This window comes from Homo sapiens, chromosome 17 (genome assembly GCF_000001405.40).
Source record: "Homo sapiens chromosome 17, GRCh38.p14 Primary Assembly".
Lineage (NCBI taxonomy): Eukaryota > Metazoa > Chordata > Mammalia > Primates > Hominidae > Homo > Homo sapiens.
Genome location: NC_000017.11, coordinates 16170711 through 16196952, shown reverse-complemented (window position 1 = coordinate 16196952; position 26242 = coordinate 16170711). Strand labels below are relative to the sequence as shown.

General features: G+C 38.6%; 1 protein-coding gene and 1 pseudogene across 53 annotated transcripts in view; one reads left to right on the top strand and one right to left on the bottom strand.

Annotated features, from left to right (window-relative positions):
- The window catches only part of NCOR1 (nuclear receptor corepressor 1), a 186378-nt gene that overhangs the window by 18582 nt on the left and 141554 nt on the right, over positions 1–26242 (top strand). For 52 of the 53 annotated variants that reach the window (NM_006311.4, XM_011524086.4, NM_001439115.1 and 49 more), the window contains 3 exons: positions 2314–2491; positions 10266–10399; positions 24958–25150. In NM_006311.4, coding sequence (NP_006302.2) covers positions 2384–2491; positions 10266–10399; positions 24958–25150 — 435 coding nt within the window. In that variant the 5' untranslated portion in view covers positions 2314–2383. Of the gene's footprint in view, positions 1–2313; positions 2492–10265; positions 10400–24957; positions 25151–26242 lie in introns of those variants that run through there. The other variant, NM_001190438.2, reaches the window with a different exon arrangement.
- RN7SL442P (RNA, 7SL, cytoplasmic 442, pseudogene) lies at positions 4802–5121 on the bottom strand (annotated as a pseudogene).

Here is a 26242-nt window from a genome sequence, read left to right as displayed (position 1 = left end):
CTTGACCTCCTGGGCTCAAGTGATCCTCCTGCTTCAGCCTCCCAGGTAGCTGGGACCATGGGTGTGTACCGCCATGCCTGACTAATTATTTTTTTCTTTTTTTTTTCTTTTCTTTTTTTTTTTTTTTTGAGACAGAGTCTTGCTCTGTTGCCCAGGCTGGCATGCAGTGGCCCGATCTTGGCTCACGGCAAGCTCCGCCTCCCGGGTTCACGCCATTCTCCTGCCTCAGTCTCCCCAGTAGCTGGGACTACAGGCACCCGCCACCACGCCCTGCTACTTTTTTGTATTTTTAGTAGAGACAGGGTTTCACCGCGTTAGCCAGGATGGTCTCGATCTCCTGACCTCATGATCCACCCGCCTTGGCCTCCCAAAGTGCTGGGACTACAGGCATGAGCCACCACGCCCAGCCGCCTGACTAATTGTTATTATTATTATTTTAATTTTCTTGTAGACATAGGTCTGGCTTCATTGCCCAGACTGGTCTTGAACGCCTGGCCTTAGGAGATCCTCTGATCTTGACTTCCCAAAGTGCTGGGATTACAGGTGTGAGCCACTGTGGCCAGCCTATAAGTTTTATTTTAAAGTTAGATTGAATGACAATTCCCTAAAAAATTTTATTTTTTAAACCTAACTGGATAAAGAATATATTGATAAAAACTGGGAAATTGATCAAGTTGTCACAGTGAATTATTTTTCGAATTTGCCCTCTTCCCAAATCCCTTGAAATGATGGAAACAAAATTAAAACTTTACTAATAAAATACTAAATGTGTGGAGATTTTATATATATAAAATTATATATGTTATATTTTTATATATACAATTATATAATTTTCATCATATATAAATTCTATTTTTTAAAACCACCCAATTAGGTAATAATAGAACTCCTGTCTTAAAGTAAGAGAGTATGCACACACATGCACGTGTGTATATGTGTATATAAAATTTTTGTCATGGGAGTTTTATATATAATTAAGATAGAAATTATATATTATGGCACACATTTTTATACATATGTAATATTCTCTATCATATGTATGTAAAATACATATTAATTATGTATAACATAAACATTTGTGCTATCCTGAAACATAAACATAGATAATCATGTTTTAGGATGGGAATACTCAGGAGTATAACAGTACCTGTTCTCCCATTAGTCAGTCTGTAAATTCAGTATTTATGTGTTCTCATCCAGAATTCTCTGGGACCTGACAAGCTGACTCTGATGCTTGTGTGTAAGAGGAAATGTGCTAGAATAGCTGGGAAGGCGGTGAAAGTAGCAGCAACAGCAAAGCACAATGAGGTGAAACTTGTCCTGCTGGATATGAAACCTCATAATACTAGAGTAATTTGAAAAGTGTGGCATTGGCACAAGAAAAGACAGATAAATCAAATTAGTCTAGAATTGTGGATAAGTAGGAATATACTTTATAATGAAGATGGCTTTGTTTTTCTTTCTTTCTTTCTTTTTTTTTTTGAGACGGAGTCTTGCTCTGTTGCCCCGGCTGGCGTGCAATGGCGTGATCTCGGCTCACTGCAACCTCCGCCTTCCAGGCTCAAGCGATTCTCCTGCCTCAGCCTCCCAAGTAGCTGGGATTACAGACGCATGTCACCGTGCCCGGCTAATTTTTGTATTTTTAGTAGAAAAGAAGTTTCACCATGTTGGCCAGGCTGGTCTCGAACTTCTGACCTCAAGTGATCCACCTACCTCAGCCTCCCAGAGTGCTGGGATTACAGGAGTAGCCACCGCTCCTGGCCTTCTTTTTCTTTATTTGCTATTTCAGGTCCATAGAAGCATGCAAAGAGTAATATAACAAATGTCCATCTACCTACCATCTGTGATTACAAAACTTAGTATTTTATCATCCTTGCTTCAGAATTATTTAATAAAGACAATACTTCCCTCTGCACAAATGCTTACCTTAAAACTACTCTTGAATTCTTTTCGCAATTGACTTATCAACTCCCAAATTTAAAACCATGTATTTTTGTCTTTATATTTCTCAGACATTTATAGAAAGATATTTACTGAGCAGTTATTATGTGCCAGATCTTATGCTGTTTTTATATACTGTTTTTACTTTATATAACTAATTATATTATTTGTCACATATTAACCTATTTTAAGTATAAAAAGAAATGATGCATTAATGTTTTCAAACCTTGGTAACTTTTATTAAGTAAATACATGAGAGGAAGCTTTTACTGGTAATTGTGGTTTTATTTATGTAGCTATAGTTATAATTTATTAGAAGTACACTTGGTGTTTTAGTTCTTACTAATTCTGTTTTTTTCTCATCCTGTTTAGGTGGTTTCCTAGAAACATGATTGTTTATTGGCATTGATCTCACAGTCTGGTGAGGACTTCTTTACTGATAATGTCAAGTTCAGGTTATCCTCCCAACCAAGGAGCATTCAGCACAGAACAAAGTCGTTATCCTCCTCACTCTGTCCAGTATACATTTCCCAACACCCGCCACCAGCAGGTAAGGAACAGATAGTATGCAAATTGCACATGTTTTTTGTGTTTTTCTTTACTTTTCCTATTTAATACACATGTGGGACAGAAACCACCAAATTTATCTTTTTTTTTTTTAAGTTGCAAGAGCTATTTACAAAGACAAGGAACCAAAGATTGGGAATTAATTATTTCTGTCTTACTGTGGCTTTATGCTGATTTCAGGAGTTGAACTTGTCTTTGCTTTTCATGATAGGAGTTGATGATAAATAGAAAACTTACCAATTCTCTAGAATTTCTGGGGTAAGACCTATATTTATACTCCCAAGTTGTGGCTGAGTTTTAAGCTGGCCAGATAACTTGGCATGTCTTGGGTGAGGGCCAAGATAAAGACCTCTCTCTTTTTAAGAAATTGATGGTAGGAAGATTTGTATAGTAGGTAGGAAGGAAGGGATGGTAGTTAGGAAGGAAGACTTTATCATAGGAAGAGTTTGTAAGAGATTGATTTACCTTGTGAAAAATAAAGTATGAGGTGAAATAATCATATCAGAGTAGACCAAGGTTATGGGTGTAAGAGGTTTAAAGAAAAATAGGAAAGGATGGGATAAAACGGTCCTCTCAGAGACTAAGAAAGCAGATTTGTCATCAGAATGTACTACAGGGTCCTCCTGAGGACTCCTTTGAAGTGCAGTCATGATTACAGAGTTAGAATGGACATTCTTACGTTGTTCCTGTGTAGGGAGGCATTTAGTCTTTCACCATTATTACATGTAATGTTAGTTGCACGTTTTTGTTGATGCCTTTTTTGGTTGAAGAGGTTGCTTTCTGTTCCTAGTTTGAGAATTTCTGTCATGATTGGGTGTTGAATTTTGCTTGTGTTGTCCCCCTACCCCAGTGTTATTCATCCGATTACCAATTTTCTGGATTATTGTTGCTGCTGGTTTTTTAAAAAAATCAGGCCGGGCGCGGTGGCTCATGCCTGTAATCCCAGCATTTTGGGAGGCTGAGGTGGGTGGATCACTTGAGGTCAGGAGTTTGAGACCAGCCTGGCCAACATGGTGAAACCCCATCTCTACTAAAAATACGAAAAAAGTAGCCAGGCATCGTGGCAGGCATCTGTAATCCTAGCCACTCGGGAGGCTGAGGCTGGAGAATCGCTTGAACCTGGGAGGCAGAGGTTGCAGTGAGCCAAAATTGCGCCGTTGCACTCCAGCCTGGGCAACAAGAGTGAAACCCCATCTTAAAAAAAACAAAATTAACTTTGCAGTTTAGTTTATATATATACACATATATCTATATTAGAATGCACTCATTATATGTGTACATTGTAACAAATTTTGACAAAGTCATAAACTCATACAACCATCATGAAAATGAAGATGAACAACATTTCTAACACTCTAGGACGTTCTTTGGCACCCCATCCTCCTTGGCACCCACCCGTGTCAGTCCTCCTCCCCGACTTCCTACTAACCTCAGCTCCTAGGAAACCACTGATCTGCTTTCTATCATAATACATTGTATACGTTCTGAGCTTCATGGGAACTATTCTGTCTATGGCCTCTTTTGCTTCCCATAATACTTCTGTGATCTATCCATGTCTGACATGTCTTAGTTCATTCCTTTTTATTGTTGAGTATGGGTATACCACAATTTGTTTATCCAATCACCTATTCCAGTTTTTGATTATTATAAGTAAAATTACTTAGAAAACATATATCTATATGTTTGTTGTATGTAAATTATTAAAGGAAGTATTGCCTCATTTTCTTAACAGCATCCTTTGGAGAGCGTACATTTTTTATTTTTATCAAGTCCGATATACTTTTTTTTTGAGATGGAGTTTTGCTCTGTCACCCAGGCTGGAGTGCTATGGTGCCATCTGAGCTCACTGCATCCTCTGCCTCCTGGGTTCAAGCAATTCTCCTGTCTCAGCCTCCCGAGTAGCTGGAATTACAGGCGTGTGCCGCCACACCCAGGTAATTTTTGTATTTTTAGTAGAGATGGCGTTTCACCATGTTGGACAGGCTGGTCTTGAACTCCTGACCTCAGGTGATCCACCCTCCTCGGCCTTCCAAAGCGCTGGGATTACAGGCGTGAGCCACTGTGCCCGGCCCCAGCTAATTTTTTGTATTTTTAGTAGGGACAAGTTTTCGCTATGTTGGCCAGGCTGGTCTCGAACTCCTGGCCTCAAGTGATCTGCCTGCCTCGGCGTCCCAAAGTGTGGGGCTTTCAGGTGTGAGCCACTGTGTCTGGTCTCCTCTGGTTACTTTTTAAGAGTTTTCTCTTTATCATTGATTTTCAGCAATTTGGGTATGGGTTTTTTTTTTTTTTTTAAACGAAGATGGTGCCTTGCTATGTTGCCTAGGCTGGAGTGCAGTGGTTTTCATAGGTGCATTCCCACTACTGGTCAGCACAGGAGTTGTGACCTGCTCCATTTTTTTTGTTTTTTTTTTGTAACCTGGGTGGGTTCATCCCTCCTTAGGCAACCTGGTAGTCCTCCTGCTTCTGGGACGTCATCATATAAATGCTGAACTTAGTGTAGACATCTGATTGGCATAGCCCAGAGCTGTAGCCTAGAACTATTGGGCTCAAGGGATCCTCTTGCCTCAGCCTCCCAAGTAGATGGGAATACAGGTGTGAGTCACGACGCCTGGCTGTTGTGCTTTTTGAATGAATACATTATTGTCCCTGGCATTCACCAAGCTTCCTGATTCTGTGGATTTACAATTTTCATAAAATTTGAGCAGTTTGGGGCCATTGTTTTTTTCAAATATTTTTTCCTGTCTCCTTTTCCCCTAGTTTCTGTCTGGGACTCCAATTACTCATGTTGCATGTTATTCCACAGTTCACTGGACCTCTGTTCACTTTTTTTCCCTGTTTTTATTTTATTTTTTTTAAATCCATTAGCTTCATTTTGCTATGGTATCATAGTCAGTGATCCTTTCTTCTGTACTTTTCAACCTGTTGTTAATTTTATCCAGTGACATTTTTATTGCAGATGGATTTCATTTTTGATGAGAATATGAACATTGTGAGTTTCATACTTTTTTTACTGCTGGCCTTTGTTATATTCCTGTAAAGAGAGATGAAGTCCTTCTGGTAGGAAATTAAGTTACTTTTGAGGCTTGTTTTTAAACTGTTAGGGCAGGTCTAGAGTGGTCTTTATTCTAATTTATCCCCCACTTCTAAGCTTGTCTCCTAGGGTTTCTGTTGAATGTCCCGTGTATTCAGTGGGATTTCCTCACTCTTGCTGGAAGAAATTTGAATGAGTTCTTGCCCTGAGTGAGCTCAGGGAATTGTTTGCTTTATAGTTGCTTCTAATTGTTCTATCATCAGAAATTATTTTTAGCCCAGCCTGTGATATTTCTCCTTATTCATTTACAGACTAGAATTCAGGCATAGGCTTAAGGGATCCCAAATTCAGAGTTTAGGAAATCTTTCTCTTTGAAACTAACTTCTGGAAGTTCAGTTCCTATGGCTTATCCAAACCTTGTACGGTTGCTTCTTCAACGACTGTGATTGTGGGACATGATTTAGGTTCCCTTCCCATGGCTGCAGTTTGGAAATTGCCTTTAGGCAGAGGGCCTAGAGTATGGTAGGTAGGGCTTACCTCATTTGCTTCATTTCTCTCAGCGATCAAGCCCTCTGCTGCCTATTATTCAGTTTCTGAAAATAGTTTCTACATTTCTTTGAATTTTTTAGCTGTTGACTGTGGGAAGGTAATTCTGAGCAGTGTTACCTGCTTATACCTGGAAGCTGCAGTACACTGTTGTTACTTTTATTTCACTCCTTACTCTTAATTTTTCTTGCTGGGTACGTCCTTTAGAAATTCTTTCAGGGAGTGTTGGCTGGGCGTGGTAGCTCATGCCTGTAATCCCAGCACTTTGGGAGGCTGAGGCGGGCAGATCATGAGGTCAGGAGATCGAGATCATCTTGGCTAACACGGTGAAACTCCGTCTCTACTAAAAATACAAAAAAAAAAAAAATAGCTGGGTGTGGTGTTGGGCGCCTGTAGTTCCAGCTGCTTGGGAGGCTGAGGCAGGAGAATGGCGTGAACCCGGGAGGCGGAGCTTGCAGTGAGCCTAGATCGTGCCGCTGCACTCCAGCCTGGGCAACAGAGCGAGACTCCTCAAAAAAAAAAAGAAATTCTTTCAGAGAGCGTCTGTGGTTGGTATATTATTTGAGTTCTTAAATTCTCAAAAGTTAGTAGCCTTAAAACTTCAGTGATGGTTTATTTTTTATTTCATTTTATTTTTAGAGACAAGGTTTCACTCTATCACCCAGGCTGAAATGCAGTGACGCAGTCATAGCTCACTGTAACCTTGAGCTCCTGGGCTCAAGTGATCCTCTCACCTCAGCCTCATGAGTAGCTGGGACTATAGGTTTGAACCACCATGCCCAGCTAATTTTTACATTTTTTATAGAGATGGGCTCTCACTGTGTTGCACAGGCTGATATCAAAACCCTGGCCTCAAGCTGTCCTGCCTTGCCCTCCTAAAGTGCTGGGATTATAGGCATGAAGCAGCATGCCCAGCCAAATGATGACTTAGTTATTCAATTTGTAGCTTCAACGTTATTTTCCTCTGAACTTGAAATATGCTATTATTTGCTGTTTGCTTCTATTCAGTGTTGCTAATGAGAAGCCTGCTTTTATTATGATCCTTCTAACTTTGTAGGAAACTTTTTTATTTCATCAAACTTATAATAAAGTTTCACTTTATTCTTGTTTTTTTAATATTTTCATGTGTCCAGTATGGATTAATTTAAAAAATACATCCAGTTTTTTCCTTAAGCCCTTTTAAATCTGAAGACTATGTTTTTTCTAATTTCAGAGAAATGCTGTTCTATTATTTTTCAGAATCCTGTCTCTTGCCTGTGGATATGGGATGTTGGAACTTTTTGCTGTAGCTCCCATTTTTAACTTTTTTCCTGTGGTTTCTATGTCTTTGTGCTTTACTGGGTACTGAGAGAATTCCTCAGTTCTCTCTTAGCTTTCATTTACTTTTCACTTCTGTGTGTTCAACTATTGTTTACCTTCAGTGATTCAGTTTTTAGTTTCTTTGATTCTTTAATAAATTTTTTTTTTATTTTTTGAGACAGAGTCTCACTCTGTTGCCCAGGCTGAAGTACAGTGGCACAATCTTGGCTCATTGCAACCTCCACCTCCTGGGTGCAAGCAATTCTCATGCCTCAGCCTCCTGAGTAGCTGGGACCACAGACATGTGCCACCACGCCTGGCTAATTTTTGTAATTTTAGTACACACGGGGTTTCGCCAAGTTGGCCAGGTTTGTGTGAAGCTCCTGGCCTCAAGCAACCCTCCCACCTTGGCCTCCCAATGTGCTAAGATTACAGGTGTGAGCTACCATGCCCGGCCTGCTATTTGATTCTGTTGTTATTTTTTTTTATTTTTATTTTTAACAAACCCTTGTGATGAGGACTGACTATTTTTTTTTGTTTTTTTGAGACAGAGTCTTGCTCTGTCACCTAGGCTGGAGTGCAGTGGCTTCGTCTAGGCTCACTGCAAACTCCGCCTCCCAGGTTCAAGCGATTCTACTGCCTCAGCCTCTGGAGTAGCTGGGATTACATGTGCCTGCCACCATGCCTGGCTAGTTTTTGTATTTTTAGTAGAGATGGGGTTTCACCATGTTGGCCAGGCTGGTCTCGAAATCCTGACCTCAAGGGATCCGCCTGCCTTGGCCTCCCAAAGTGCTGGGATTACAAGTGTGAGCCATAGCACCTGGCCTATTTGATTCTTTTTGAGGCTATTATTAATATTTTCTAGGTCCTTTTTACTTTTATTTACTGTTTTACCTATTTCCTTGGATGTAAATTCCTTTTTGTTTTGGTGCCTTTGAAAAAAAAATTTTTTTTTTTTGAGATGGAGTCTTGCACTTTTGCTTGGACTAGAGTGCAATGGTACGATCTCAGCTCACTGCACCCTCCCCCTCCTGGGTTCACGTGATTCTCCTGCCTCAGCCTCCTGAGTAGCTGGGATTACAGGAGCACGCCACCACGCCCAGCTAATTTTTTGTGTTTTTAGTGGAGATGGGGTTTCACTGTGTTGGCCAGGCTGTTCTCAAACTCCTGACCTTGTGATCTGCCCGCTTTGGCCTCCCAAAGTGCTGGGATTACAGGCATGAGCCACTGTGCCAGGCTGAAAAAGTTTTTTAAATGGTTTTTTTATGTTTTCAACTTTATATCTGAGATTTCTTCTTAGACTATGAGTTATTTTTTACTCATAACTTATAGAGAAGGGCTCTCAATGGCTTATCTACCCTCTGTTTTATCCTGGACAGCATAATTTTATCTGTTTATGATTTTTAAAACTTTTTGTTGACACAGAATTCATATAACAAAATTTACCATTTTAAAGTATATAATATAGCAGCTTTTAATATATTCATTATATTGTGCAGCTATCACCACTACCTGATTTCAGGACATCTCCATCACCTGCAACGAAACCCCATAACTAATAGCAGTTTCAATTCTCCTCTTCTCCCCATCTTTTGACAACCACCAATTCATTTTCTGTTTCTATGGATTTGTTGCCTTTTCGTTTTTCTTTCTTTTTTTTTTTTTTTTAAAGATGGTGTCTTGCTCTGTCACCCAGGCTGGAGTGCAGTGGCACAATCAGAGCTCACTGCAGCCTCTAACTCTTGGGCTCAAGCAAGCCTCCCACCTTAGCCTACAGAGTAGCCGGGACGTGCCACAATGCCCGGCTAATTTTTAAATTTATTTTTTGTAGAGATGAAGTCTCACTATGTTGCCCAGACTAGTCTTGAATCTGTGGGGTCAAGCAGTCTGCCCACCTTGGCCTCCCCAAAGTGTTGGGATTACAGATGTGAGCCATAGCACCCAGCCTGGATTTGCTTATTATAGACATTTTATATAAATGGAATCATAATATGTGGCCTTTTGTGCCTGACCTTTTTTTTTTTTTTTAAACTTAGTATAATGTTTTCTATGTTTGTCTGTGTTCTAGCATCTCTCCTTTTTTAAGGCTGAATGATATTCAGTTGTATGGTTATACTACATTTTGTTTATTTGTTCATTAGTTGATGGACATTTTGGTTGTTTTTATTTTTTGGCTGTTGTGAATAATGCACCCATGAAAAATTGTGTACTAGGTTTTGTGTGTGGTTTTATATACTTGTAATTCTTTGGGGTATATACCTAGGACTGGAGTTCCTAGCTTATTTAGTAATTCTGTGTTTTTCTGTTTATGATTGAGTTAGCACAATAGATTTGTTTGGAAAAGAAGTTTTTGCCAAAAAAAAAAAAACAACAACCAACAAAGGAAAGGTACAAAAACAAACATAAAAACACTCACCTAGTTTTGATGGGAAAAACTACTACTCTTAACTAGCAGGTTGATTCTCTGTACTTCAGTTTCTTCATTGTAAGTGTGGATGGATTTGATTAGACTTCCATTACCCTTCTTCCAGCTTACTCATTATGAATTTAGTATTGGAATGCTTTTTAGGATTTCATATTGAACACATGAGTTTGAGATTTTACTGATGTGAGTAATACAGATTGGGAGTTATTGTAATTTGTTATTAGAGGAATGAGTCAATATAGATTAAACTTGAAATTTCATTTTGGATTTTTTTAATGATATATAGTTAAAATGTTGATTATTTTAAGGGGAAGAATTAGATCAATGAAGGATTGAAATAGTCATTGCTCTTTCTTTCCATACTTAGTGGCCCATAACTACCTTTATACTTGCTTTGATTTCATGATGTTGTTCAGTTTTTGGTTAATAATTGATTTATGATTATTTTAATACTAGGAGTTCGCAGTCCCTGATTATCGTTCCTCTCATCTTGAAGTGAGTCAGGCATCACAGCTTTTGCAGCAACAGCAGCAGCAACAGCTTCGAAGGCGACCTTCCTTGCTTTCAGAATTTCACCCAGGTTCTGACAGGTAATGAGGTTTCTTTTATGTTTCTATCTAGGATTATAATTGTGAAGTATACAAGTTTGTCATTATTTTATTTTTTTACTTTTTATTAACCAAGCCATGACTGGTCATTTATAGTTTGCATTTTGAGTTCTTTTTTGTTGGTTGGTTGCAATAGTTAACAAGCTCTTAAAACTTGTTTCCATAGTTTGGCATTAATATTATTTAGTAGAAAGGCAGTAAACCACCTGGTCACCTGTGTGTCCTTGGTTATGTTCTATAGACTTGGGCTGCACATTAGAACCCCTTGGGATGCCCAAGCCTCATCACAAAACACTTAAATCAATCTCTGGAGTTGGGCCCAGGCTTTATTTTATCGCCGAAGTTTTTCCGGTAATTCTGATTTGCAGCTAGGGTTGCCAGTCACTGATCTCAACTCTTCAAGCTTTAGTTTTCCCTCCTATAAAAATGGAGATAATAGTGGCATTGTCCTCAACTGATAGTAAATATTCTGTCAGATAATGTAGGTCCTGTACATGCATGGTGGGTTCTCTTTTTCCTGAGTGTCCTTACCATCTCTGCTTTCTTTTACTTCATTCTCATTCTGAAAGTTTTGTTTGTTTTTTCTTGTTTTTTGGAGACAGGATCTTTCTAGCTCTGTTGCCCAGGCTGGAGTGCAGTGGCATGATCATGGCTCATTGCAGCCTCAACCTCCTGGGCTCAAGTGATTCTCCCACCTTAGTCTCCCAGTCCTGGCTAATTTTTTGTATTTTTTGTAGAGATAGGATTTCGCCATGTTGCCCAGGCTAGTCTTGAACTCCTGAGCTCAAGTGATCCACCCACCCCTACCTCCCAAAATAGTTAATTCTTTTTTTTTTTTTTTTTTTTTTTTTTGAGAAAGAGTCTCACTCTTGTCACCCAGGCTGGAGTGCAGTGGCATGATCTCAGCTCACTGCAACCTCCGTCTCCAGGGTTCAAGTGATTCTCATGCCTCAGCCTCCTAAATAGCTGGGATTACAGGCATACACACCACACCCAGCTAACTTTTGTGTTTTTAGTAGAGATGGGGTTTTGCCGTGTTGACCAGGCTGGTCTTGAATTCTGGGCCTCAAGTGATCTGCCCGCTTTGGCCTCTCAAAGTGTTGGGATCATAGGCATGAGCCACTGCACCTCGCCAGAATTTTTTTTTTTAAATTGTGTGTATTTAAGGCATACAACATGATGTTATGGGATACGTATAGATAATAAAAAGGTCACTATGGTGAAGCAAATTAGCATATCCATCATCTCACAAAGTTATTTATTTTTGCTTTTGTTTTTATTTTTGCTTTTGTGGCTGGACCGACTAAAATCTACTCATTTATCATGAATCCCAGATACAGCACTATATTATTATCTGTAGTCCTCATGTTGTACATAAGAAATCTAGACTTTTTCATTCTATGTGTCTGCTACTTTACATCCTCTGACTTTCGTCTCCCCATTTTCTTTCCACCCCCTGCCCCTGGTAACCACTGTTAGCACTGTTTTGTTCTCTTTGTATAGTTCCTTTTTTTTTTTTTTTTTTTTGTTTAAGATTCCACATATAAGCGAAATCATGCAATATTTTACTTTCTGTGTCAGGTTTATTTCACATAGCATAATGTCCTTCAGGCTTATCCATGTTGTGGATGGCAAGATCTCATTTTTTTTTAGGGTTGAATAATATTCCATAGTGTATATATACCACAGTTTCTTTATGATTCATTCATTGACAAACACTTAGATTGTTTTTATATCTTGGCTATTGTGAATAATTAGCTGCAATAACATGGGAGTGCATTTACCTTTACAAGATGGTGATTTCATTTCCCTTGGGTATATATCCAGAAGAAGGATTGTGGGGTCATGTGGTAGTTCTATTTTTAATTGCTTTAGGAACTTTCATACTGTTTTCCATAATGGTTGTACTAATTTACGTTACCACCAGCAGTGTACAAGAGTTCTCTTTTCTTCATGCCCTCATTAATATTTGTTATCTTTTGACTTTTTTTGGTAATAGGCATCCTAATGGGTGTGAGAATATCTCATAGTGCTTTTAATATACAGTTCCCTGATGACTAATGATACTGAACATCTTTTCATATACCTGTTGGTGATTTTTACGTTTTCTTTTGAGAAATGTCTATTCAGATCTTCTGCCCATTTTAAAATCAGGTTATTTGTTTTTCTGCTATTGAGTTTTATGAGTTCTTTATAAATTCTGGATATTAATTCCTTAGCAGATGCATAGTTTACAAATATGTTTTCTGTGTCTACAGGCTGCTGACTCATTTTGTTGTTTTCAGAAGCTTTTTAGTTTGATGTAGTCCCATTTATATATTTGTGCTTTTGTGGCCTGACCTCTTGATATGCAAAAAATCATTGCCAAGGTCGGTGTCCCAGAGCTTTTCTCCCTACGTTCTCTTGCAGGACTTTTATAGTTTCTGATCTTATATTTAAGTATTTTATCCATTTTGAGTTGATTTTTGTATATGCTGTAAAACAAGGGTCTAATTTCATTCCTTTGCATCTGGATATCTAGTTTTCCCAGCATTATTGAAGAGACTACCCTTTCCCCACTGTGTTGCTGTGGTTCCCTTGTCAAAAGTTAGGCGGCCATATGTTTAGATTTATTTCTGGGCTTTCTATTCTTTTCTACTGATCAGTGTGTCTATTTTTATGCCAATACCATATTGTTTTGATTACTGTAACTTGGTAGTACAATTTTAAATCAGGAAGTGTGATGTCTCTTTGTTTTTCTTTTTCAGAATTGATTTTGCTATTGGGGGTCTTTTATACTTCCATGTGAATTTTAGGGTTGTTTTTTCTATTTCTGTGAAAAACCCCATTGGGATTTTAATAAGAATTGTGTTGAATCTGTACTGTATATTTCTTTGGGTTGTGTGGACATTTTTGCAACATTCTTTTGATCCATGAGCACAGGATATCTCTTCATTTATTTGTGTCTTCAGTTTTTTAATCAGTGTTTTATAGTTTTCAATATACAGATCTTTCACCTCCTTGGTTAAATTTATTTAACCAAGTAAATTTATTTAAATGTCTTTTAGAACTCTGTCATAAATTGTTTCCTTGATTTCTTTTTCAGTTAGGTTGTTACTTGTATATAAAACTGCTGTTGATTTTGTATCCTGCAACTTTACTGGATTCATTTATTCTAACAGTTTTTTTTTTTAATGTGTAGAATCTTGGGGAACTTTTATACATAGGATTGTGTCATCTGCAAATAAAGATATTTTTACTTTTTCCTTTCTGACTGGATGCCTTTTATTTCTTTTCTTTTTTTTCTTTTCTTTTTTTTTTTTTTTGTTTGATTGCTCTTGCTAGTACTTCTAGTACTATGTTGATTAGAAGTGTTTGCCACTGCTTCTAATCAACATAGTACTAGATGGGAAAAGGATCCGATCCTTACCTTTCATGGTATCTTAGTGGAAAATCTTTCAGTATTTCCCTATTGATTATGATGTTAGTTGTGGAATTTTCACAAATGGCCTTTATTATGTTAAGGAACTTTCCTTCTTTTCCTAAACTGTTGAGTTTTTTAAGTCAAGAAAAGATTTTGGACTTTTTGAATGCTTTTTCTGCATCAGTTAAGATGACGTGTTTTGTTTTTGTTTTTACTTCTCTTCTTTTTACCAGTAGGAAACTTTATATTGTCCTTTTTTTCTCCTTGAATTTTTATTTCTTTTCTTCTCCAGTAAAAATTTTTTGCTAATATGTTTATTCTTAATAGCATTTTACTGATCACTTTCATATATTTCTACTACAAATACATATAGAAATTTTGGGCCGGGCACTGTGGCTCACACCTGTAATCCCAGCACTTTGGGAGGCCAAGGTGGACGGATCACGAGGTCAGGAGATTGAGACCATCCTGGCTAACACGGTGAAACCTCATCTACTAAAAATACAAAACATTAGCCGGGCGTGGTGGTGGGCACCTATAGTCCCAGCTACTCTGGAGGCTGAGGCAGGAGAATGGCATGAACCCGGGAGGCGGAGCTTGCAGTGAGCCAAGATTGTGCCACTGGACTCCATCCTGGGTGACAGAGCGAGACTCCGTCTCAAACAAAAAAAATAAATAAGTAAAATAAAATAAATTTATTTAAGTTTTCTGTGATTTTAGGCCCTGAGTGTTTAAAAGTTTTACTCTGGATTAAGTTATGACAATTAGTAGTAGTAGATCATTGAACAAAAAAGCATAAATATATGTATACATTTTATTACATTATTCTTAAAAGCAAAAAGTAAAATCTTACTGAAAACATACCTTTTAATAAGAAAGGACTGGTTTCCCTTCCCCCAATTATTGTAATTTTTGAGTACTAATTACTGGAAACAGGCAGGCTTCTATGTGAATACTATTCCAATTTTTATTTTTTATAGACTATGAATATTGTTCATCTAAGCAGGTAGAAATGGAATAAATTTTGTAGCTGCAATTTTGCTTAATTCTCTGAGTGCCTTCCAATTTCTAGACCAACAATCACAGTGATCTGATATCTAAAATTATTTTTTTTGATCTTTCAGCTAAAAAATAGTTTCTCCTTTGATACAAAAGTAAAGAATTAGAAACCACTTGGTTTGGAAAAAAAAAAGTTTGTTACCCATACTTTTGCCATTCTCTTTTTTCAGTATTGACATGATCATTTCAAATTGTTCTTTTGTAGCACTAGAGGTTTAGTTTTATTTGTTTGCTGTTTTTCACTTTTTTTATTATCTAGGACAGAGGTTGCCAAACTAAGGCTAGTTGGTACTGACCATATCCTGTCTGTCCTGTTTTTGTAGAGCCCTCAAGTTAAGAATGATTTTTACATTTACATATTAAAATAAATTTTATTATGTATATTTGAGGTTTACATGGTGTTATGGGATACACATAGTTTAGCCAGTGAACATATCTGTCATCTCACATACTTTGTTTTGGTGACGAATAGCTAAAATCTACCCATTTAGCAAAAATCCCTAATATAATACAATTGTATTAACTTTAGTCCTCATGTTATACATTAGATCTCTAGACTTGTTCATCCCACACATCTGCTATTTTGTATCCTTTGACCTCCATCTCCTTATTTCTCTATCCCCAACCAGTGAACCACTGTTTCATTCTCTATCCCTGTGTATTTGAGTGCTTTTTTTTTTTTTAATATTCCATATATAGGGGAGATCATGCAATATTTTTATTTTTGTGCCTGGCTTATTTCAGCGTGGTTTCAGCATGGTCCATCCATGTTATGGTATGAAAGGATTTTTTTCTTTTTTAAAGTTGAATAATATTTATACACACACACACACACACACACACACACACACACACACACACATACATATATATGTATACACACACACATCACATTTTCTTTCTTTCTTTTTTTTTTAGACAGAGTCTCACTCTGTCACCCAAGCTGGAGTGCAATGGCACAACCTTGGTTCACTGCAACCTCCACCTCCTGGGTTCAAGCAGTTCTCCTGCCTCAGCCTCTGGAGTAGCTGGGACTACAGGCGTGTGCCACCATGCCCAGCTACTTTTTGTATTTTTAGTAGAGACAGGGTTTCGCCATGTTGGCCAGGCTGGTCTTGAACTCCAGACCTCAAGTAATCCGCCCACCTCAGCCTCCCAAAGTGCTGGGATTACAGGAGTGAGCCACTGTGCCTGGCCTGCACATTTTCTTAATCCATTCATCTGTCAGTGGGCATCTAGGTTGTTTCTATATATGAACTATTGTGAATGATGCTGCCATGAATATGGGAGTGTAGGTATCTGGTTGTTGTTTTATTCTTTTTTTTTGAGATAGGGTCTTGCTCTGCCACTCAGGCTGGAGTACAGTGGCATGATCATGGCTCACTGCAGCCTGGACCTCCCAGGCTCAAATGATCCTCCCACTGCAGCCTCCCGGGTAGCTGGCACCACAGGTGCATGCCACTGTGCCTGGCTGATTTTTGTATTTTTTGTAGAGATAGGGTCTCACTATATCCAGGCTGGTCTCCAACTCCTGGCCTCAAGCGATCCTTCTGCCTCAGCCTCCCAAAGTGCTAGGATTATAAGCATGAACCACTGAGCCCACCCCAGATATCTTTATGAGGTGGTGATTTCATTCCTTTTGAGTATACAACCAGAAGAGGGATTGCTGGGTCTATAGTAGTTGTATTTTTAATTTCTTTGGGGCCTTCCATACTGTTTTCTATAATGGCTATAACAATCTACATTCCCACCAACAAAATACTAGGGTTCCCTTTTCTCCATACCCTCGCCAACATTTGTTGTCTTTTGGAGAATAGCCATCCTTACAGGTGTGAGGTGAGATCTCATTGTAGTTTTAATTTGCATTTCCATTGTGATTAGTGATATTGAGCACCATTTCATATATCTCTTGGCCATTTTTATGTTTTCTTTGGAGAAATGTCCGTTCACTTCTCTTAATATGATATATCCCATTGATTGATTTGTGTATGTTAAACCAGCCTTGCATGCCAGGGATATGTCCCACTTGCTAGTGGTTTGTAATCTTCGTGATGTGTTGTTGAATTCAGTTTGTTAATATTTTATTGAGGTTTGTTTTTTTTTTTTTTTTTTTTTTGAGACAGAGTCTCGCTCTGTTGCCCAGGCTGGAGTGCAGTGGCACGATCTTGGCTCACTGCAAGCTCTGCCTCCCGGCTTCACGCCCGGCTAATTTTTGTACTTTTAGTAGAGACACGGTTTCACTGTGTTAGCCAGGATGGTCTCGATCTCCTGACCTCGTGATCCGCCCGCCTGGGCCTCCCAAAGTGCTGGGATTACAGGCGTGAGCCACCACGCCCGGCCTTTATTGAGGATTTTTGCATCAGTGTTCATTAGAGAGATTGGCCTCTAGTTTTGTTTTCTTGTGATGTCCTTGACTTAGATATCAACTTAAATGCCTTTGAGTTAAGTTTCTCTCATATAATGTGTTGGGAAATAGTCCCTCTAGCTCTATTTTTTGGAAGAGTTTAGGAGGAGTTGGTATATATTTTTCTTTGACTATTCAGTAGAATTCTGCCATGAAGCCTTCAGATACTGGAGTTTTCTTTGTTGAGAAGTTTTTGATTACTTCTTCAGCCTCTTCATTTGTTGTTCGTTTGTTCAGGCTTTCTACTTCTGCTTAACTCAATCTTGGTAGGTTGTGTTTTTCTAGGAATTTATCCATTTCCTCTAGGTTATCCAATTTATTGACATATAATGGTTCATATAGTTCCTTATGATCCTTTTTATTTCTGAGGCATCTGTTGTAATTTCTTCGTTTTCATTTTTATTTTATTTATATGAATTCTAAGTTATTTTGAAATATAATTACCTTTATAAATTTCCTTTCTGATTTCAGCAATTTTATAAGGTACCTGATTTCCCATTTCAAAAATGTGCTCACTGTTTAGGTTTTAAGTTGATCAAAGATTTGAAATATAATATTATTTTGTTTGAGGTGGAGTCTCACTCTGATGCACAGGCTGGGGTGCAGTGACATGATCTTGACTCACTGCAACCTCTGCCTCTCATGTTCAAACGATTCTTCTGCCTCAGCCTCCGATTAGCTGGAACTGCAGGCACTACAAAAAAAAAATAACTTTTTTTGTAGTTTTAGTAGAAGCAGGGTCTCACCGTGTTGGCCAACCTGGTCTCAAACTCCTGACCTCAGGTGATCCACCTGCATCGGCCTCCCAAAGTGCTAGGATTATAGGCGTGAGCCACCACTCCCAGCCTAAAATTATTATATAATACATTTCTTGGTTAAGTTTGGAGAGAGAATTCAGCTTACTTGTCCCCTAATATCTAAAAAATGAACAAAAACATATTTTTCAAACAGGCTAAAAATTTACCCTTTTATAAATAAGAAAAGACATACAGCTATTGTCAAAAACTTAGAAAAGTGGGATTCACGGAAAGAATTACAAGTATCTTGAATGACTTGGCCTCCTATTTTCTATTGTTAAAGTAGCATTATTGTTTTATGAGTCAAGGAACATGAGTTTTTATTTTATTTCATTTTATTTTATTCTATTCTTTTTTTTTTTTTTTTTTTTTTTGAGACGGAGTCTTGCTCTGTTGCCCAGGCTGGAGTGCAGTGGCGTGATCTCGGCTCACTGCAACCTCTGCCTCCTGGGTTCAAGCAATTCTCCTGCCTTAGCCTCCCGAGTAGCTGGGACTACAGGCTCATGCCACCATGCCCGGCTGATTCTTTGTATTTTTAGCAGAAATGGGGTTTCACTGTGTTAGTCAGGATGGTCTCAATCTCCTGACCTTGGGATTTGCCTGCCTCAGCCTCCCAAAGTGCTGGGATTACAGGCATGAGCCACCACAACTGGCCTATTTTATTTTTTTGAGACAGAGTTTTGCTCTTTTTGCCCAAACTGGAGTGCAGTGGCGCAATCTTGGCTCACCTCTGCCTCCCGGGTTGAAGGGATTCTCATGCCTCAGCCTCTAGAGTAGCTGGGATTACAGATGCCTGCCTCCATGACTGGCTAATTTTATATTTTTGGTAGAGGTGGGGTTTCACCATGTTGGCCAGGCTAGTCTCGAACTCCTGACCTCAGGTGATCCGCCCGCCTCAGCCTCCCAAAATGCTGGGATTACAGGCGTGAGCCACTGTGCCTGGCGGAACATGAGTTTTTTAAAAAGAAAATTAAAAAAAAGCAGTATCGAAGAAAGTAAGTTAGTGAAATCCTAGGATTTCTCATGAATATTCTTTGATTGGAGAAAATTTCAATTGGTGGTGGTGAATGGTTTGCTTGAGAATTCCCATTATGCCATCCTGGTTTCTCAACAGCTGCAGAAAGGACAGTTGGGATGTGCCATTCTGTAAAGTGATGAGCCAGAACCCTCTGGAGTGGTCTACATGTCTGGCTGGTAGAGGGGGCCAGAGTCCTTAGCAGAGGCAGTTACAGCCCTAACCAAGATTTTTCTTCCTTTGCCCCACTTACATGTTCCCTCGGGCCATAGAACAGTATTTAGAAAGCCATACCTATTCTTCCATTTGCAGAGAAGATGACTACATGCCAGAAAAAGTGGGAACAATCAAGGAGAACCCACCCAGACTATCCCACGCCAAAGAGAAAGGCTGCCACAATGTACCTGAGCAGGAGGGTGGGGAATGGCACAAATGAGGCGAATATATTCCTGGAAAAGAAAATTAAAGCAACATAGTATGCCAAAAATAAAATCGCCACGTGTAAGAAACATAAAGAGCATGCCTCGTAAGTGCTATGCACTATAAAAGAACTTAATAATATAAATAAGTTCTATATTTCTATATTTCTTCTATAAAAGAACTTAAATAATGAAGTATTCAAAAACAAAATGATAAGACAGCCAGATGGGCTAAATGTAGTTCAGACATTTGAGTGCCCTGAAGATATAAAATTAGAAAGAAAAGGAATAAAGTAGATGTGGCTTAAGGTAAACCTTGTCTTAGAACAAAGTCTTGATATAATTAGAGTGAGTGCAGAAGAAAAGGACAAAGATTAAGACAATTAGAAAGAACTTGTAGGGAGGACAAATAAAGATCATCCAGTATACTATAAGAACATGTTTTTGAGGTGGAAAACCTGGTAAAGGAACAGTAATAATATTCATAATACAGAAATTCCCCATAAAGTTAAGGAAGAATTGATAGATTCTACAGATTGATAAAACATATCTTGTTCCAGGAAAATTTATACAGAAAGAATGATCCATACCAAGACAGATCATGGTTGAGGAATTAAATTTCAAGGATAAGTAAAAGAACTAGGAATTCAGGAAACAAAATAAATGCTCCACAAGGTGGAAGAGTCAGGCTACAAACTTCTACATAGCAGAATTGAGTGACAGAAAATAGTGAAGCAGTAGCTACAAAGTTCTGAGTAAAAGAAATTGATATTCAAGAATATTATACCAGACAGTTTAACAATAAAAACAACAGGCAGATTTTCTTAGACATGAAAGCACTGAGCAATTATAGCATCTAAAACTGAAAGAGGCCGGGCGTGGTGGCTCACACCTGCAGTCCCAGCACTTTGGGAGGCTGAGGCATGCATATCACCTGAGGTCAGGAGTTCGAGACCAGCCTGGCCAACATGGCGAAACCCTGTCTCTACTAAAAATATAAAAATTAACTGGGAGTGGTGGCGCACGTCTATAATCCCAGCTACTCTGGAGTCTGAGGCAGGAGGCTCTCTTGAACCCAGGAGGTGGAGGTGGCAGTGAGGCGAGATCGCACCACTGTACTCTAGCCTGGGAGACAGAGTGACACTCTGTTTCAAACAAAACAAAGCAAAACAAAACAAAAAACCTGAAAGAATTTCTTTTTTTTCTTTTTTCTTTTTTTGAGATGGAGTTTTGCTCTTGTTGTTCAGGCTGGAGTGCAATGATGCGATCTCGGCTCACTGCAACCTCCGCTTCCTGGGTTCAAGTGATTCTCCTACCTCAGCCTCCCAAGTAGCTGGGATTACGGGCATGTGCCCCCATACCTGGCTAATTTTTTTGTATTTTTAGTAGAGATGGGGTTTCTCCATGTTGGCCAGGCTGGTCTCGAACTCCTGACCTCAGGTGATCCACCCACCTTGACCTCCCAAAGTGCTGGGATTACAGGTGTGAACCACCGCACCTGGCCTAAGAATTTCTTGATGACCGAATCCAGCCAAACAAAGAATGGATGCCATGGTAAGAGGATTGGTAGTTAGCCATAAACCCATCTTTTTTTTTTTTTTTTTAAAAGAGACAAAGTCTCTAAACTCCTGGGTTCAAGTGATCCTCCTGCCTCAGTCTTCTGAGTAGCTCAGATTACAGGCGCATGGCATTGTGCCTGACAAATTTTTTATTTTTGTAGAGACAGAGTTGCTATATTGCCTGGACTGGTCTCAAACTCCCAGCATCAAGCGATCCTCCTGCCTTGGCCCCCTAAAGTGATGGGAAACGTGTGAGCCACTACATCCGGCAACCAGGGCACAGGAAAATTAAGAAAAACATTGAGTATGGAATATTCTCTTTTAGCAAGAAATCAGACTGCTTTAAAATTCTTTAAAGTTCGAATGATAAAGTATAGTTATTTAAATGTGTTTTGTAATTTTAATTTGTTTTAAAGATGTTTAAAGATGGTGTTACGAGATGACAAAAGTCAGTAAAATGGGGAACTTTACAAAGTCTGCAAGCCTACAGAGTTTTTTTTTTTTTAAAAGACAAATGAGTCTGGCTCTGTCACCCAGACTGTTGTGTTGTGCAGTGGCGTGATCTTGACTCACTGCAACCTCTGCCTGGGTTCAAGCGATTCTCCTGCCTCAGTTTCCCGAGTAGCTGGGACTACATGCGCGCACCACCACGCCCGCCTAACATTTGTATTTTTTTGTAGAGACGGGCTTTCACCTTGTTGGTCAGGCTGGTCTCGAACTCCTGACCTCAAGTGATGCACTTACTCGGCCTCCCAAAGTCTTGGGATTACAGGCGTGAGCCACGGCATCTTGCCCTACAAAGATTTCTTTATGTGAAAATTTGCTGTTAGGTTTTTTTTTTTTTATACCACAGTTTATTTATCTATTTTTATCAGCTGATGGGTGTTTGGATCATTTTTACTTTTTGACAATTATGAATAATTCTGCTGTGAATATTCGTGTACAAGTTTTTGTTTGTACGTATATTTTCCTTTCTGTTAGTTAGATACCTAGGAGTGGAATTGCTGGGTCATGTGGTAACTCTATTTTATTTAACTATTTGAGAAACTACCAGATCGTTTTCAAAGTATACCATTCTACTGGTGTTAATTTTAAAAGGCAAATACATTAATTTAAATTGGAGATTTCATGCTTAGTTCTACCAGAACTCCTAATATTAAATTGTACTTAGCAAAGATTTTCGTAGTTTATTTAAATTTCTGAGATTTTATACATTAAATTATATATTTATTTATGGCTGAGTAGATTTGTTCTTCTAAAAAGGATTGGCAGGCTGAAATGGGAAGTAGTCTGATTTCTAGATAGAAAAAGAGCATTCCATACTCATTGTTTTCTGAGTTGTCCTGTTCCTTGGTACCTTAGTTTCTTCTCCAGTACTGGGTATGGTATGCCTCACCTTCTGGCTTTGATAAATCTCAGAGGCAGAGTTGCTGGAAATGAAATGTAATACTTGAAAATTATGCTTTTGTAGGTTATGTTCTAGCTGAGGGGGCAACTGAGGGCAGAAGTCCAGCTAAGGCATTACTTGGGTAGATTACCTCTGGCCTTAGTGGAGGATGAATCTTTTGATTATAATAGCTTTGTAGTAAGCTTTAAAAGGTGAAGTGTGAGTTTTCCAACTTTGTTCTTTTCCAAGATTGTTTGGCTGTTTGTAATCCTTTGAGATTCCATATGAATTTTCTGATGAGTTTTTCTATTTCTGCAAAAAAGCCAATGGCATTTGATAGAGATTACATTGAATCCACAGGTTGCTTTGTGTAGTATTGTCATTTAATGACATTATCTTCCAACATATGAATTTGAGATTTCTTACTATGTATTAAGTCTTTTATTTCTTCGAGCAATGTTTTGTGGTTTTCAGTGTTTAAAGTCATAAGCCTCCTTGGTCATATTTATTCCTAGCTATGTTCTTTTGGGTGCTCTTATAAATGTATTGCTTTTTTTTTTTGAGATGGAGTTTCGCTCTTGTTGCCCCTGCAGGAGTATAATGGCATGATCTCGGGTCACCTCAACGTCTGCCTCCTGGGTTCAAGCGATTCTTCCGCCTCAGCCTCCCGAGTAGCTGGGATTGCAGGCGAGCACCACCATGTCTGACTAATTTTGTATTTTTTAGTAGAGATGGGTTTTTCTCCATGTTGGTCAGGCTGGTCTCGAACTCCTGACCTCAGATGATCCACACGCCCCGGCCTCCCAAACTGCTGGGATGACAGGTGTGAGCCACCGCACCCAGCATAAATGTATTGTTTTTTAAGTTTCATGTTTGGATTGTTTAATGCTAGTGTATAGAATACAACTGAGTTTTGTGTGTTGATTTTGTATCCTCCAACTTCGATGTATTTATTTGTTAGCTCTAATAGTTTTTTTTTTGCCAATTCTTTAGGGTGCCACATATGGAATCATGTTGTCTTGAATAAAAATGCTTATTTCTTTTTAAATTTGGATACCTTTTATTTCTTTTTCTTTCCTAGTGCTCTGAAAGTAATTTCCAATACCATATTGAATATAAATGGTGAATGCAGTCATCTTTGTCTTGTTCCTGAAGTTTCCCATTCCTGAAGTTTTTTGTGATGTCACTCTGAATTTTAAGATAATGGAATTCTATGTGTTGAATGAGATTTAAAATTTTGAAGTATAATAATTTTACAGAATTTAGCATTCAGGCCAGGTGCGGTGGCTCACACCTGTAATCTCAGCACTTTGGGAGGCTGAGGCAGGTGGATTGCTTAGCTCAGGAGTTCGAGACCAGCCTAGGCAATATAGCAAGACCTCATCTCTACAAAAATTAGCCTGGCATGGTGGCTCGCGCCTGTAATCCCAGCTACCGGGGAGGCTGAGGCAGGAGAATCACTTGAATCCGGGAGGTGGAGGTTGCAGTGAGCCGAGATGGGGCACTCCAGTCTGGGCCTCAAAAAAGAAATAAACAAACAAAAAAAGAATTTAGCATTCATTTCATTGTCTGTCCTCAATATGAAACCCAGCAATTCTGTTTTCAATGAAATATTGCTTTGCAAAGCATTAGTTTACAGGTTGGCCATGAGATACAATATCACCTCTGTAAACACCTGGTAGAAAATGAAAAGTCAACTTAATGAGCACTCACGAGCAGGACTCAACAATACATCCTGTAAAGAAATGAAAGATTCTGATCTTCAAGTCATGTATTTAGGGAAGCTAGACAGAATACATGTTTTTGGGGCCAGGATGATGTTTTAGAAGCAATGTTGGATTTCTCCTCAAGAGACTTGTCTTTAAGACTGAATGGTACCTCATAAGTGAAGTCATTTCTCTTTCTTTGTAGCAATAGCTGGGAGATTTTTATTTCTTGCTTGTTTTTATTATTGGTTGAAAAATGGTGGCTCTTCTGGTTTATATTATCCCAAATTTAATTATTATGGCATTTTAACATTTAAAAATATTAGTTTATAGATATTCTTCAGCAACTAAACTTTCTGCAAATGTTCTGTTTTGTCTTTCACTTCTAGATTAGTTTTTAATCCTCCCCCCAAACCTTTTTTTTTTGTTTTAAGACGGAGTCTCACATTGTTGCCCAGGCTGGAGTGCAGTGGCATGATCTCAGCTCACTGCAACCTCCACCTCCCAGGTTCAAGCAATTCTCCTGCCTCAGCCTCCCGAGTAGCTGGGATTACAGGCGCCCACTGCCACGCCCAGCTAATTCAAACCTTTTTTAAAAATTAGACTAGAAGTTTAATGGTACTATAGTGAGGTATATATTCTTTGGGGGTGGGAACAGAAGGGGTACGGATTCACTTTGAATGTAAGCATGACTTTTTCATTTGTTATTTCAAAGTCTAACCAGGGATGTTACCAGGGAGTTGTACATCACTTACAAATTTTCAAGTGTTTATTTTCTTTGTATGTATTAGGCCTCAAGAAAGGAGAACTAGTTATGAACCGTTTCATCCAGGCCCATCCCCAGTGGATCATGATTCACTGGAATCGAAGCGACCACGTCTGGAACAGGTTTCTGATTCTCATTTTCAGCGTGTCAGTGCTGCGGTTTTGCCTTTAGTGCACCCGCTGCCAGAAGGGCTGAGGGCTTCTGCAGATGCTAAGAAGGTAAATATTTGTTCTCTTACCCTGTAGAGTTGTAGGTTTGTAATGTTTATTTAGTTATACTCATGCATAGCACCTCAAAGAAAGTCCAGTTACACCAGTCTCTAAAGGTTAGTGGTATGGGAAAGTAAAAATTTTGTTAAACAAAACTAGAAACCACAGATGAGTGCTCCAGACTGCTAAAGTGAGCACTTTTGCCTTTTCGGTAAGTGAAAACAGTCCAAGAAGACTGCTCCCATAAAGAAGAATTTCTATTAAATAATGCTCAAGCATTTTTTTACTGGCTTGCTGGCTATAAAATGTGGTCAGAGGTACTCAAGACTACTAGTTTTGTTAAATCTTAATTAAATTTTAAACAAGTCCCTTAAATTTAGTAGCAGTTTATTAACTGCTATATGGGAGAAAACACATCCAGGTAAGGTTGAATTGTGCATATAAGTTCTATACAAAAGAAAATTGTTCCTAATTTATGTAAGTAATACATACTTATAGAAAACTGGGAAAATAAAGAGGAAAAAAGTTACCTGTAATCCTGTAACTTGGAGATAACGACCCTCCCCCAGTTTTATTGTGGAATAAAAATTGTGTATATTTATGGTGATATTTATATTTATGATGATATTTATACAGTGTGATATTTTGATGTATGTATACATTGGGAAACACATCAAGCTAATTAACATATTCATCACCTCACATAGTTTTTTTTTGGTGGTAAGAACATTTAAAATCCACTCGTAGCAATTTTTAAATATATAATACATATTATTAGCTATAGTTGCCATGCTGTACAAAGATAAGTTTTAATATTTAGCTATATTTTGTGACATTTCAAACAATGCGAGTTCTATTAAGAACTTTCCCCATGCACTTATTTTTATTTACCCATCTTTTGTGAAATGTTTGCTCATGTAGTATGTCCTTGTTTTATTGCTATGTTTACCTTTTTCTTTTTTTTTTTTTTTGAGATGGAGTCTCGCTCTGTACCCCAGGCTGGAGTGCAGTGGCGCGATCTTGGCTCACTGCAATCTCCGCCTCCCGGGTCCTGGTTCAAGCAATTTTCCTGCTTCAGCCTCCCGAGTAGCTGGGATTACA